This window comes from Homo sapiens, chromosome 2 (genome assembly GCF_000001405.40).
Source record: "Homo sapiens chromosome 2, GRCh38.p14 Primary Assembly".
Taxonomy (NCBI): Eukaryota; Metazoa; Chordata; class Mammalia; order Primates; family Hominidae; genus Homo; species Homo sapiens.
Window position 1 is genome coordinate 214,430,270 of NC_000002.12, and position 15,614 is coordinate 214,445,883.

At 32.9% G+C, this 15,614-nt stretch overlaps 1 protein-coding gene across 3 annotated transcripts in view; it reads left to right on the forward strand.

Annotated features, from left to right (window-relative positions):
• Window positions 1-15,614, forward strand: part of VWC2L (von Willebrand factor C domain containing 2 like) — a 167,923-nt gene that overhangs the window by 19,216 nt on the left and 133,093 nt on the right. For 2 of the 3 annotated variants that reach the window (NR_159945.1, NM_001080500.4), the window contains exon 3: window positions 6,360-6,489. The exons of the other annotated variant lie outside the window; for it this stretch is intronic. Coding sequence is in view for 1 of the 2 variants with exons in the window: in NM_001080500.4 (NP_001073969.1) it covers window positions 6,360-6,489 (130 nt within the window). In the remaining variant the exon portion in view is untranslated. The remainder of the gene's footprint in view (window positions 1-6,359; window positions 6,490-15,614) is intronic. 3 annotated transcript variants of the gene reach the window in all.

Genomic DNA, 15,614 nt, shown 5'->3' on the forward strand with positions numbered 1-15,614 from the left:
CTTCTAATATTTTACTTTAGCTCAGAGTGCATGCAAATAAAAATACAAAGATTAAATCCAGTGGCTAGGTTTTCTATTATAGTAGTACCGCCAGTTATTCTTACAGAAAAGGTATTTGTTTTTTAAAAACATCAAAATATGTGTTTACAAATATTTCAACTCTTCTTCTAGATTGCATTTATTGGAGTAGGAGAGATATATAGTTCATCTCGATATACCTTATATACACTACTTTGTATACAATGTATGTTTAATGAATATGCTGAATTTTTTTTTAAATTAGACATCATATTTCTGAATTGTAGTTTATTACCTACCTAGTTTATTATATCTACATGGGCAAAGCTATGTGCACTCCATAATCATTTCACTAAAATGCTTATGTTTTCAACAAAAATGAAATGTTTTTTGATAGACATGCTGAAAAAATATACTCCAGAATGTATTATCAAAATACAAACTCCACCAGAGAAAGCCAGGGCAGCTACTACTTAACTCGTAATGCAGATAATAATACCACGATATACATTTGCTGAGTAACTGAGATGGTTATTTTAAAAAACTCTGTGCATCTGCTTTTTTTTATTTGCTTCCTCAGTATTAAAATTCTTAAAGAAGTTTCAGCTTGATGTCCATAATTTGATGAGTTACAACCTCAGTGTTCCAAATATGCTCCAATCAATAGAGCAGATCGCTGAAGAGGTCATCACAATCTCATAAGACCAGGAACACTTAGGAGCATTTTAATCAGTGATGCTATGGGTCATCTTTTAGACAATTGTGAATTTTGGTTAAAACCCATTGGATCAGTTGATTATTAGGTGACACCTGTTGCATGCAAATTACCGGCTACGGGAGTGGCAGTGGATGCTAAATACTTTTGCACTTTGTAATTTAATGTATATTTTAATGAAGTGAACAGTGAGATTCCTGACAGGCATCAGCAACTTTGAAATAGAGTCTTCCAAATTTTCATACAGTTTGAAAGTAATGAGATTTGTTCCTTAAAGTGATAAAATTTATGCCATAAATTAGCTCTAAAAGAAGAGTGCTTCTAAAAGCTGTATTTTTTCCTTTGTGGAAAAGATTAGATTTTAAATAGTTGTTTAAGGGGAGTTTTTTGAAAAGTAAACAAAGATTTTCTTTGATCATTTTTGCTTATTATGAAAGAAATGAAGTACCCCTTGGACTCTGAAGCCTAATATCACTTGATCAGAAGGAAACCCATTTATAGGGTTAGGAGGTATAAACTTGGCTCTTAGAATATATCCCATCTATTTGCGTATCCGTCCCTTCAGCTTTCAACAGTATTCACAGACAACTTTCTAAGAAACCCGTGTTGTTTTCAGAATATTCAAAATGTGTGTTGTTGGGCTTTGTACTCTATCCCATCCTTTTGGGAAATGGACATGTTTAAAATCAGGACTTGTTCTGAAAAAAGATTTTCTAATATACTAAATTGTTGTGCTTAATAAGCAACCATTAAAATTGATACACATTATAAAATGAGACTAGCTTTTTCTCAGACCCTTTAGCAATTCCTCTGCATGTACTCTTGTCCAAATTTAGTTAGCACAGTATTTTCTAGTGCAATAAAAGTCTGTAATCATCTACTGCTAGATAACCTAGTCAATGGAGTGCTTGAAGATTGACTTACCTGTGATCTGCATGATGAATATTATGAATTTAAAATTACCTTTAGAGGGTGAGTTTATGTGCATTGCCATAATGTTGGAACCCAAATAGTTATTTCACGACTCACAGTCGGAAACCTTTTTCCCCAAAGTGCCCATTATAATATTTAAATAAAATACAAACATCTCATTGACTCAAAATCATTTTCACGCATAATGAACACAGATGAAGCCGCCCAGAGATATGGTTTAGCAAATAAGAAAACATAGATTATACATAAATGATTATGCATTTTAGTTAACAAATATTTGTTGAGTATCTGTCATGTGCTAAGATGTCTTCTAGGTGCTGAGAATACAACAATGAACAGTATATTATAAGGAGATTAGAATCTATGAGGACAGGAGCAAATTTACCAAAAAAATGTAAAGAAATCAGTAAGATAGTTTCACAGACTGATGAGAGCTCTGAATGGTTGACATGATGGACAGAGAAGATGAAGGGGCTGGAAGGCCTGAGTCATCAGGGAATACCTCCCTGGGGAGGTGGCATTTGAGTTGACACCTAGATGATGAGACTTCAGGAAAAGAAAATGGGTTCGTTGCTTTTCATTCTTTCATTTTACTTGTTGATTTATAATGGCCAGTTTCACCATTCACAACTACTCTTTATCTGAAGCTTCTAATAACAATTGTGATTTTAGTTGCCTAAACCAATATTTATGAAAGAGTCTCATTTTGCTCTATTAACTATACTGTGTATAGCAGGAAACCCCTTTCTAATCTAGGGCCAGCTGGGACAGCATTTGGAATTGCCATACAAGGTATGCATTTAGGGCCAGGCACAGTGGCTCACACCTATAGTCCTAGCACTTTGGGAGGCCAAGGTGGGTGGATCATTTGAGGTCAGGAGTTAGAAACCAGCCTGGCCAACATGGTAAGACCCTGTCTTTACTAAAAGTACAAAAATTAGCCAGGCATGGTGGCATGCACCTGTAATTCCAGCTATTTGGGAGGCTGAGGCAGGAGAATCACTTAAACCCAGGAGGCAGAGGTTGCAGTAAGCCAAGATTGTGCCACTGCACTCCAGTCTGGGCAACACAGTAAGACTCCATCTCAAGAAGAAAAAAAAAAAAAAGTATGTATTCAGAGATAGCAGAAATTGCTTAAATGGAGTTCTACATTAGTTATTTAAAAACACTAAGCTGGAGAAATAACAAATTTAAAACAGATATATTAACTGCTCAAGCCACCTGATATATATATATATATATATATATTATATATAAATATATGTATAAACAAATACATTTGACCGCTAATCCTAATTTCAACTAAAATTTATGAAAAAGTAGTGAGTGAATGTTACTTTATTTTCTAAGGAGTGCACAGAAATAAAGTGTTCTGTGAGGGTTCTTAGGAGTTTTCTTGTATAAAATTTTAGGATGGTATAATTCAATCACCATACTTACAAATCTCTAGCTGGCAAAAGCCATGTACTACTCATAATTTCACATGTTCTTCTTTAAAAAATGCTAGTAGAAATAATTTTTCTGGGTACTTCTTTCAGTATTCTCTGTTTCTCTAAGGATAGCTTTATTCTTTAAACTTTGGTTTTACAGGGACATTTTCAGGTTTCATCTATAGTTTTCACATGGAACAACCCAATAAAAGGAAATCTGTAACCAGCTCAATGCTTAAGATATAAAGATTTATCCAAAGTACCGTGAGTTTTACACTGTAAATGGGAAGGATTTTTAAAGTTTGAACTTAATGTCAAAGTAGCATGCTGCACACTCCTAGTAACTTATTGCTGTTCAAGCAGTATCTTTTTACAAATGCAGGGGCAGGCAGGAGCAATGGAGAAAGTCAAGTTGAGCAAGAGGACAACAATAGTGCCGGAATTGTAAGATGATGAAAGGAAAGAGGCTTGGCAAGTCTGGAGAGGATGGAAAGGGGTTCTAGCTTGAAGTCAATGGGTTACATTTGATTGAGTGTTTACAGTGGGATCAGAGGGGCACAAGGAGGCTTGACATGAGAAAAAGTGCACTAAAATAGAGACAGACCATTTGTAAAAACAATTTAATGAAAACAGAAGAGGAAATCACATGCATATGATAAGAGATTCTGAGTCAGAAAGGGATGGCGTACAGTACATAAATAAAGCCAAGTTCAGGGCAGGGTGAGAAGCCACCAATGATTAATGTGATGTTTTTATTTTTCTCATTTATGTTTTTCATTATTCAAACCCTATTCAAAAAATCAAATATAGTCTTATCACTAAGTCTTGTGGTCTTAGATCTTCCTCAGAATATTTCTCAGTTTCCAATGCTTTATTGGTCTTTACTGGATTATTATCTGTTAACACTTCTCCCAGATGCCTGCACATCTAGTTACCAGGTTCCAAAGCTTGAAGATGTCGAGGTCTCCAAGAATGTAACACTTGTGGCAACCTAACTTTGGCAACTACGGTTTTCTAACTCACATTTGTAGAAAGTTAAAAAGCTCTAAGTTTCCATAATAATCTCATCATGCACCAAACACCCAAGTTAATGGACTTCTCTTTCTTAGCAGGAGCATCAGTACACAGAATGGTGATTCTTGTTACCAAGTGGCAGTCCATTATAGCAGTTAGGCTACTGGATTCAAATCCTGCCTTTGCCTCTTACTACCATAGGCCCTGGGAAAGTTATTAAACCTTTCTCAGCCCATTTCCTCATCTGTGAGATAAAGATAAAAACAAGTCTTGCTTCATAGAATTATTACAAAAACTAAGTAAGTAGATATAGGAAAATTGCTTAGCATAATGCCAGTGTTTAAATTAGAATGGTCTTCCTCATCAGTGTTGGGAATCTAATAGTTCAACAAATTTTTCTTAAAGACTATAGTTATTTTGAAGTAAACATTTTGCATTTGAAAATTTAGGATTCTCTTCAGAATTTTTATTCCCTGAATCAATCCACTAGAGTTGCACAAACCAGCCCTTCCTTCAACAAGAAGGGAACCAGAAAGAATAAACAATGCTAGCTGTGGGGAAGGGATTATATTAGTGGCTTCCTTTTTCCCCCATACTGGCAGTAAATACAGTCCAAGTCTTTGCTGCATTTCAGAAGGCTATGTGAAAATACTTATTTGTAATTAACCAAGGAAAGGGGAAAGTTCGACAAGTCTGCTTGGGAATTTTAGATATCACGATGAGGTTTGCAAAATAAGGAGCAAAAGAGCAACAAGAGTTTCCATCTCTTATTTGCTAATTTTCTCCATTAAATAATGTACTGTACGTTCTAATCTTTTTCTTAATTTGCTGAGATTATTTAGCAGAAAAGCATCAGAAAAATCTCAACCCTTGAGAATGCAATAGATTTCTCTGAAATGTTTAAACACAACTCACCACATGGTAAAGAGTTTAACTGTACCCTTCAAAAATGCCATTGATCATGTTAACAAATAGCCATACTTTACCACAGATCCCATGGCTAATTGTTTTGTTCATACTAAATTTGAAAGCAAAGTAATTTAAAGTTAGGCTGTCATTCTCCAAGCAAAAAGCAAAGACAAAATGAATTTTTAAAATAATTAGTTGAAGGGTTTCCACTATAGACTGTCTGAGTTGAGAAGCACTGATATTACACAGATTGTCAGATCCAGGGAAGAAATAAGAGCTGACAAGGGTTTTGGACAGTAGTCACTGAAACAAGGGAAGAGGGCTTTAATTAGCACAGTTTGCAGGTAAGAATCTGTGGCTTCAGATTGGAGGCAGAGCTTTCTAAGAACAAATGGCTTGATTTGAGAAATGTGGACATTGTATGACTTCTGACACCACCAAATTTTCATTCCAGAATTTTAAACTGCTGTTCCATGAGAAAAGTAGAGCTAGAACTTACAAAGGATGAGAAAGTCAGAGGGTGGCCCCTGCTTTAGATTATTTGTGCCATAGGCAGTTTCTAGAAAGGAAATAGAAAATTCTAAACACTCTCGGCCGGTAAGTACTGCAAAGACAAATGTTCTTTTCTGATGTTTAATTTTTTTCTCTTAATTATCATTTTTAGTTCCATTTTTAGAGTTTTTGACTCTTAAATAGTGGCTTTTTAGGCCAGTCGATTTGTTCATTCATAAAAGCAAGCAGGCAAGATGAAAGGTATTCACTACATCTTTCAAGAGGCAGTACCTGGATGTTTGGTTCCCAAATGCAATCTTCTCTAATATTCACATTGAAAAAAAAAATGCCATTTAGAGTCTAAGTTGGCTTGAAAAAGAGTTCATACAAAGGGTACAGATGTCCACTTACCATTTTCTTGTTTCTCAGTAATTCTCCTCCTTTCTCAAGAAGAAGAAAATGACAGATGGCAAAAATTATCTTACACGTTCCAGTAGAATGCCTGTTTACGAGAGGAGGTCAGAGCAATCAGTACATCTGGAAAACAAACCAGGAGATGACATATTAGTTATGCAAATATTTCTCTGGAAAGTAGGAACATAAGATATAGGAAAAGTCATACACGGGTGCTTTTCTTGTTCACAGCAACCTGAGTGCAGGTTGTAATCCACTGTGACTTGGGTGTCTAACTTGCCTTCCACCAAGGGAGAATGATCGTAGACATGGTAAATGGAATTAATACAGTAAAGCCAATATAATAAGCACTGATGTTTTGTCTTCTGACAGCATATGAATGTGCAAGCATTAAGTTATAGGAGAAAAGGGGCTAATTTTAGATTTGTTCCTAGCCCTCTCCATGTGAATGGTGTCGCTGTGAGCCCAGCAATGAAGTTCACTGTGTTGTAGCAGACTGCGCAGTTCCTGAGTGTGTCAACCCAGTCTATGAACCAGAACAATGTTGTCCTGTCTGCAAAAATGGTAAGACCACACTGCATTAGCTTTTGAAGAGGGGTTCGCACAAAATACAAATATTTCACTACTGCATACCATTCAATGCAAGACCCCTCTAAGATCTGCCTGTGGCTTTTCAATATGGGCATGGCGGATGTATATTTTTATCCCATCTTAAAGTGAAAATAAACCTGCAGTGGGTTTATTGTGCAGCTTTCCATCTGGGGAATTAAAGCTGTTGTAAGCTGACTTCGTTGTGATCCCTATTATTTCGTGTTGATTTAAAAGGAGTATATTGGAAAGAACACAGTACCATCCTTTTGTAGTGACTGCATTCCTCTCTTTTGTAGAGCCAATGAAGCAGTTCACCCCATTTTGTGGTGTATGACCCAGGATATAGGGTAGGGTAAATGCCAGGTATTTTGTTTTGAATGTAGATAAGACCTTAGGTTTAAAGTTAAATATAAAATTCAAGAAATATTAAATAAAATTAGCATTGCACTTAAATTGAAGTAATAAAGATTAAAAAGTTTAGGGCCTTTATTGTAGGTTTTTATTACAGTGGAACTGTGCTCTCACAGTAACTGCTATAGAGAGCAACTTGTTTTATTTACGACATTATAGGTTCCTTTTTGTCCCTCATGGAATGGAGAGGTTGAACCAACTATAATATCCTAATCACCCAAAATCAACATGATGCTGCAGAGAAGACAATGCAATGCTATAAACCCAAGATAGCGCATCAACAAAGCCAATAGCGCACTTTGCCTTATGACCATGTACTACCAAAAAGGAAAAAATAATTCTTTACTAGGCCACATTCCACAAATGTTCTGTCATTAATATCTGCTGGAAAAAGTGGTTCTAGCCCCTAATTAAGATAAGCTCACTCTTATGCTGAATTCCTATGCCTTTTCTTGAGTTGGCAATGGCCATCTTTCTCTATTATTTTTTGCTCTGAATTTGGAGCTCACCTACTAATCTTTTCCTTTACAGAAGGGTAATTAGTAAAAATAAGCATAAAGATATCTTTTACCTTTTATAAAAGATAAAAAAATATTTTTAAAAGATTTTTTAAGTAGCTCTGGTTATTTCTGATAATAATTTTTTTGTGTTTTGGTATCTTCCAAAGGACTTATTAAAAACCTTTGTGACATTTTCCAGATACACGTTTTGCTATTTCTGATCATATAAATCGATTAACTTGAATATTAAGTTGCTCATCTCGCTCCTCTTTTTCTTCTTATCTCCTTTCTCCAATCTACCTGTCATAGTGACCACTCTCTCACTTAGCAGAAAGAAATAACGCTCCTGAAGTTCTAACTCATCAAAAATAAATATATGCAAATATATTAAATTTAAGACTTTAAAATTTTAAAGGGACTGAAGAAACTGGAAAAGATACAAGAAAGAACAATAAGAGGATTTAGTGGTTGAAAAATAGGACCTATGAGGACAGACAGAAAGAGTTAGCATAATTTGTCCTAGAGAAGAAAGGCTCAGGTGAGACCAAACTGTCATAAAATATATGAATGGTGAGTCTAAAGTAGAAGAGAAAGTATTATTTTTCATTTTCTCCAAGGATAAAAGGAAGAAAAACTCAACTACCTAATCAATCTTTAAAAACTGGATTGACAGGTCTTGGACTGAAGACTGCACTTTTTTTTTTCTTTTTTTCCCCTGGAAGCAACTGTCTAAACAAGTCCTTGAGGCTCTTGCCTTCCCCACATGGCTCTGGTTAGCTTTGTCTTACTTTTAGCTTTGTCTCACAATTATGGTTATAGTTAAAATTTCTTGTCTAGACACATCCAGCATATTCATAGAATTAGAACATGTAAAGCATACGTTTAAAACAGTTTTTACACATGCATCTATCACATCCTTCTAGCGACCCTACACTAAAGCCCATAATATACCCAGAGTTAATGTCTATGTCATATGTTAAATCAGCCACTACAAACTAGTTACACTTAATTTGATGTCGCCCAAGATTATCCTATTTCTCTCAACCATGTCAGAGTAGAAATTTTTCTCCAAATGAAATCCTCTTTTTACAAAAGTGTATAATGAATAGACTTTACTTGTTCAATCAGTTAATTAATTAGTAACCACTAGTATTTCTGATAAACAGATGCTAAGTACACAAGGTATGTTAAGTTTTCTGATATTTTTTAAATCATGAAGCACTATGAAATGGCCACTTCTGTTCCCTCTTGGTACTTCCAAACAAATTTTCTTTTCTTAAATAAGGGAAATGAATCTGAATTTAAATTAGTGGAAGGACTGATTGTAATGTAACATTATGAGATGTTATCTTTTTGTTATTAAATGCCGCTAGTTAGTCACATATGCCCCAAAACTAAAGTATAATCATTGCCAAAGAAGAGTATATCAAGAACCAATGAAGACACGTATGACCACCAGTGGTACCAATAATTTTATTGAGAAGACAGACTGAGTCCCAGGTTTTGTTGGCTCTCATTCTAAGCCTAGCCCAGAAAACAGAAACAGATGAATGATATATAGAAGACATGGAGGAAAAATAAATGTTTATTATGACAGTATAACTGGAATAACTTAAGTTTCCAACACATGATTTAAGTCTATCTCATTATATATGGTTATTAACTATAACCATAATAAATATGCCCATTATAGTATAAACTATTTTAAATATAGTTGCTATGTCATAGATTTTTAAAAAGCAACAATAAGCTAAAAATATATACTATGGATTCAAGGTAGATGCAACTAATTCTAACCTATAAACAGTCATAACATTTTCTACATTTTCTTAAATCTTCATAAATGGTTATTTTGGCGGGCAAGTAATTTTCAGTTTGCATAAATGCTTATTATCTTGGCTGTCAAATACTTTGGTTTTTCATATTAAAATTGATTTTTCTGCCTTCCTGAATTACAACTTGCCAAAAGCATGAGGCATTAAAGTTATAAAACTTTTAAAATATGATTTAAACTTTATATTAAAGATATAAACTTTTGAATGTGATGGAATCCATCACACCTAACCTTATAACTCAACATTAAGCTAATATAGAAATATTTGTTTTGATATTATTTAAGAGCAAACAAAACAAAGAAAGATAACAATATGTATGTAGTTTTTCCGTAAAACTGTTTACCAATGAAAATAAACAATTATCTTTGGAAATAAATATTTTAATATTATAAAGTGCAGGGTAATCTACTCCCTAAACAATGGTACCATGTCTTTATTCTTGATAATATAATTTTAAGAATAAGTTTAAGAACATATATTTCCAGGAATTTAATTGTGTAAAGAAGAGAGTTTTAAATTTTCTTGTCTCAGTGATTACCATAAACAAGATTTTCAATGGTTGTCAATGACTATACCCAACAGTAATCTATTCACATTAAAATTAGTTCAGTACCAAGAACAGTCTATCGATTTAGCCTGAATAAAATAAAAACACTAAGGAAAGATATGAATGACTGGACAGAGTCTATGTAAGACACATAATAGGAGGAAAAAGATGAGAGTAATTTTTATTTGGTGAGAATTGGGGGGATTGACATAGGAATTTATTGTTTCTAAAAATATTATTAAGCATTTATTTCTCTTTCCTTTACACAGCTCCAAGAACTAGCAATACAAATGCCTTCCTGAAAAATATGACATTTTCAGACTGTTTTTCTTTCCCTGAGATTGTGTTACTTTGACCTATCTTTCAGCCCCAGGCCTTTCCATGTGAATTAATGAGCACTCTTTATGGATTTTTGTTTTTATGGTATGAAAAAAATAATTTAGCACAGCATCTGTTTAAAGAAAACATTATGGTTTGGAATGTCACGGCAATATTTCAAACATTGGAAACTGACCATAAATTTGACTAGTAATGTGGCTATATGTATATATTTTATATATATAGCTAAAAATACCTATCGTTTATTTTTGTATGTGAATTAATATTAATTTCAAACTCTTGCTCTGCAGCCACTCATTCCATTCTTCAGTTGTTCATACATTCTAATATTTTTGTCCCAAGTCATTAAGAATCCATATTTATAGAATGCTGAACATCTGCATTAAAAAATAAAATATGTAGTCAGTTATCAAAACATTTGATCATTGGAGCATCCAAATGACAGACTGCATTTTTTACATTTCATTAGCTGGTTTGTCAGTGAGTTCTGTGTTTTCACTGGAATACACAGTCAGTCATTATTCAAGGCTCAGAAGGAAATGTTACCCCATGAAAAATTTGAAAAGACAGAACGCTCCCACAAAATCCTGTACACACATTAAGTTTTCAGTTCCTTTCAACTAAATTAAAGTTGTCACAAGCCCTGTTCAAATATTTAATTCTATGTCCCTCACTCTCTTCTAGTTTAGTAGTGATGCAAATGGGCAGAAAATAAACTAGGCAAAGGGGCAAATATTAATAGAAAACAAGAGGACAACAGAGGGGATGAGCCATGCACAATAAGAAAGAGAAGGGACTTCACAGGCATCCAATACCTTCTAAAGGTCCTTGGGAGAACATATTTGCCAAATAAAATTGTTAATATATCTAATACACAAAGAGCTCCTTAAAATAAATAAGAAAGGAAAACGATTCTGCAGGGAAGGAAATGGGCAAAGAGCAAATAAAGGAAATTTACATAAGAAAATGAATTGTCTAATAAATATATAAAAAATATATAATAATCACCAAATGGATAAGGAGATAGAAATTAAAACAATGGGATGTCAATTTTTTATTGATGATAATGTGGGATTGATGGTGCCTCATATCAGCAAAAGTATTGAGAAGAGTTAAGAAAGAGTGGAGAAAATGTTATAAACTTTTTAAAAGACACTTTCTTTCAAAATGTTTGTATCCCTCAAAGTCAGCAGTTTCACCTTTTGTACTTTTTCCCACATTCACATACAAAATTTTCACCCCATTTTGAGAGTGAAAAGTTGGGAGAAAACCTAATAATTCTTCACTGGGATAATTAAATATATAACAGCCTTTTAAAAGACTACTGATATTTTTTACTGCCATGTAAAATAAAGCAAAAACTGTTTAGAAGAATACATATCATTTTGTATGTAATATAATGTATACTACATATCTAATGTGTACATTTTATGTTATATAATTTAAAATAAAATATGTATCTTATAATAAAATAAGATTTTTATTTTAAATAAGATACCTTTTTTTTTTTTTGAGATGAAGTCTAGTTCTGTCACTCAGGCTGGAGTGCAGTGGCACAATCTCAGCTCACTGCAACCTCCGCATCCTGGGTTCAAGTGATTGTCCTGCCTCAGCCTCCCAAGTAGCTGGGATTATAGGTGCCCGCCACCACACCCGGCTAATTTTTGTATTTTTAGTAGAGACGGGGTTTCACTGTGTTGGCCAGACTGGTCTCGAACTCCTGACATTGTGATCCGCCTGCCTCGGCCTCCCAAAGCGCTGGGATTACAGGCGTGAGCCACTGTGCCCGGACAATAAGATATCATTTTAAATAGATATTGAGTTTGTATGTGTATACGAAAAAAGTTAAGTGGCTACATAATAGAATGTTAATAATGATTCTTTTAGGCAGAAGTGAGAAGGTAGAGAAAAGAGCTAAAGTCTTTAAAACATTAAATATTTACAAATTAACAAAAACAATAGATGTGAACAGGTAGTTCACATACAAAATACAAAGTTTCACAAAATACAAAAATTATTATCTCACTAAAAAATCAAATTAGATTATTTTTAAACCCCTTTTTATTTTTGCATGTTGCATTGATAAAAGTTCTGAAAGAATACACACCAAATTTTTAACAGTACCCAGTGATCAGAACAGGAAGTAAGAAGTGGAAGTAAGAATCTAGAAGCAGAGAACTTTGATATTTTATTTCACAGGACTCTTTATTAAATAATTTTTACAAATCTATATTTATAATTTAAAATATTTTATCAAACATTTGAAGAAAAAATAATCCTAATTTTATTGAAATTTTTCTAGAGAAAAGGCAAGAAAAAAGCTTTCTTTTTTAAAATGGTATATAAATTGATACAAACCAAAGATTGCAAACTAAAAAAATGAAGCTAAAAAGCTACATTGCTTATGATTATTAATGGGGAAATCTTAAATAAAATACCATTACAAAATCCTTGATCTAAATCCCTGAGTTCTAGATTTTACAGAGGAAATGCAGTTCATATATTGTATAACATATTACTAGTGGTCTAGGAAAGCATTCTTCAATCAATTACGTGAATATTTCTGCAACAAAATATGTAATAATGATACTAAGGAGACTGAATAAAAATAATGAAGAGTCTAATATCATCTCAGGTTAGGGTTTAATCTCACCTGAGTTTTTGTATCGAAGTCATGAAAAGGCCGGGCGTGGTGGCTCTCACCTATAATCCCAGCACATTGGGAAGCTGTAGCCGGCAGATCACAAGGTCAGGAATTGGAGACCAGCCTGGCCAGCATGGTGAAACCCTGTAGCTACAACAACAAAAAAAGCTGTCTGTGGTGTGTGCCTGTAATCCCAGCTACTCAGGAGGCTGAGGCAGAAGAATTGCTTCAACTTGGGAGGCAGAGGTTGCAGTGAGCTGAGATCACGCCCTTGCACTACAGCCTGAGTGACAGAGCAAGACTCCATCTCAAAAACAAAAACAAAAAAACAAAAAAAAAACCTGGATTTTCAGAGATTGTCAGAAAGGCATTGTATATTTTGTTAGCAAACAGAAGCTAGCAGCAGATCAAAATAATTATGCAACCTAACCAAATGGGATTTACTAGGGGTCTGCAAAGATAGTTCAATATTAGGAACCCCGTTAGTATAATTTGCCTTGTTAGTCATTTGAGGAGAAAGAGCATGTTATTTCTATAAAATGACATTGTACATGAAAAAGCAAAAAGTAATGACAAATATTCTTGATAAAACAAGACTGAAGTGGACAATTTTTACATGATAAAAATATATCTACCTCAGCCTAAAAGGCCGGAGTTATGTTTGGTAGGTAAACACTAAAGAAATTCCCGATAAAGTCAGGAATAGACAAGGATGTCTACTATCATCTTACATTTCAGATACATAGATAGATGAATACATACATACTAGCTAATGTAATTAGAAAAGAGAATTCAAGGGAGGAAAATTGGAAAGAAGGAGGTAAAAAAGGTCACTATTTGCAGATGATATGTGATTGCATTCTTGAAAGCCCCAAGAAAATTGACAAAAACTACTATAAGCAAGAGAATTTAGTAAGATAACGGTACAAAATGAACGTGCAGATGTCAAAACATTTATATATACACATATACATATATAAAATAACACATATATGTATTAAAAGAAAAATTTGGCACTAGTGAATGATGCAGAGGTATCAATAAAATATAATAGAAAGTTTAACAGTCCTAACTACATATGAAAATTTGGTATGCAATGAAGTTGTACTTCAAATCAATGGGAGAAAGCAGGTTTGTAGAACAAACTGTGCTGGGAAACTGGATAGTTATCAGAAAAAAAATTTAATACCTACTTTATCCCATAATTCTCATATAGAAAGAGCTCTTAGAAATTGATTGTTTTAAAAAGATCAATGACTCTATCTTTAAAATGGGCCAAAAACTTCAAAAGACATTCCAGAGAAAATGAATAAACATTAATTTGGGGGGATACATATTTTACAAAAGCCACAAAGTTTATTAAAACCTATTAAAAATAATAAGGAAACAAACCAGGTTTCTAAATGTAAAAACTCAAATTTATTAGGTTATCTAACAATAAATTAAATGGAAATTCTATACAATTTTCTATGGGATGTAACTTTTTAAATAAGTTGACAAAATAAACATTTCTTGTGAAAATGTTAAATACATGAAAAAATGCATTTGGGGCATTGGAAAATTCAACCTACCAGCTGTATTAATATATAAAGATGTAATTTTAACCAATGTGCTATTGGAACAGAAATAAACAGAAGTGACTAGAAAGTAAAAAAGTAACCCATGTGTGTATTACAATTTAGTACACAATTAAGGTGACATCCAAATATCTGATGAAAGATGTATTGGTCTAGAAAAGTTCATTTTTTGAAAGTGAAGTTACATTGCTACCTTACCGATTATATAAAAAGATAAAAATAAATTTAAGTTGGATTAAAATTCTAAATCTAAAAAATCAAATCATAACGGTATGTTGAAAATACTGTAAATATTAACTTGTTCTGAGAATAGGGAAGCTCTTCCTAAACATAAAAGCAAATAGTTTCTAAAAGAAAAAATGTATGGGTAACATATAATTTCATCTGTAAGTTTTTTCATATATTAAAAGAAGATTGCTATCATGTTGAGTAGTTAGGTTAAAAAAAATAAACAAATATAAATAAGATAGCATCTAATTTAGGAAAGGTAAAATGTAACAAGCATTCTCACACACTACTGGTAAGAGTGTAAATGATATATGCTCTCTGAAGGGTAGTAAAAATGTATGGACCTTTAATGCAGCAATGACACTTTAAAAAATTGATCAAAAATAATGAGAGAAGAATTTTAAATGGTGTATATGGATATAGTTGTTATAAAGTTGTTTGATAATAGCAACAATTTGGAAAAACTGAAACCTAAATATTTAAGAATAAAGTGACTGGTTAAAGAAACCACAGTATATCCATATGAACTACTAAGAAAGCATTTTAAGTAATATTATAGAAAAAAAAAGCATTTCCCTCACAAATATGTTTACAATATTAAACTAATGAGCCAGAAACTATACATGTATGTACATATATGTGTGTATGTATGTATGTACATATATACATATTTATAGGTCATATATAGAGAGACCCTATTTTTACTAAAAAGAAAATACATGTATAGGAAAAAGACTAGAAGGAAATACTTCAGAATATTAGTACTGCTTAACTCTATATGATATGATAACTTTATATGCTAATAGATAATTTTTATTTTCTTCCTTTGACAAACCTGTATTTTCTAAATGTCCTGCAACAAGTATATATTATCCTTGTGATTTAAAATTACTATTAAAAAAGAAAATAAAATTTATAACCAAGATGATATAATTTTTTCTTTTACTAAAAAAAACAATAGCATGTTCCTTATGAGAAATTATACTATGACTTCTTATTAAAATTTGTACTCTATCA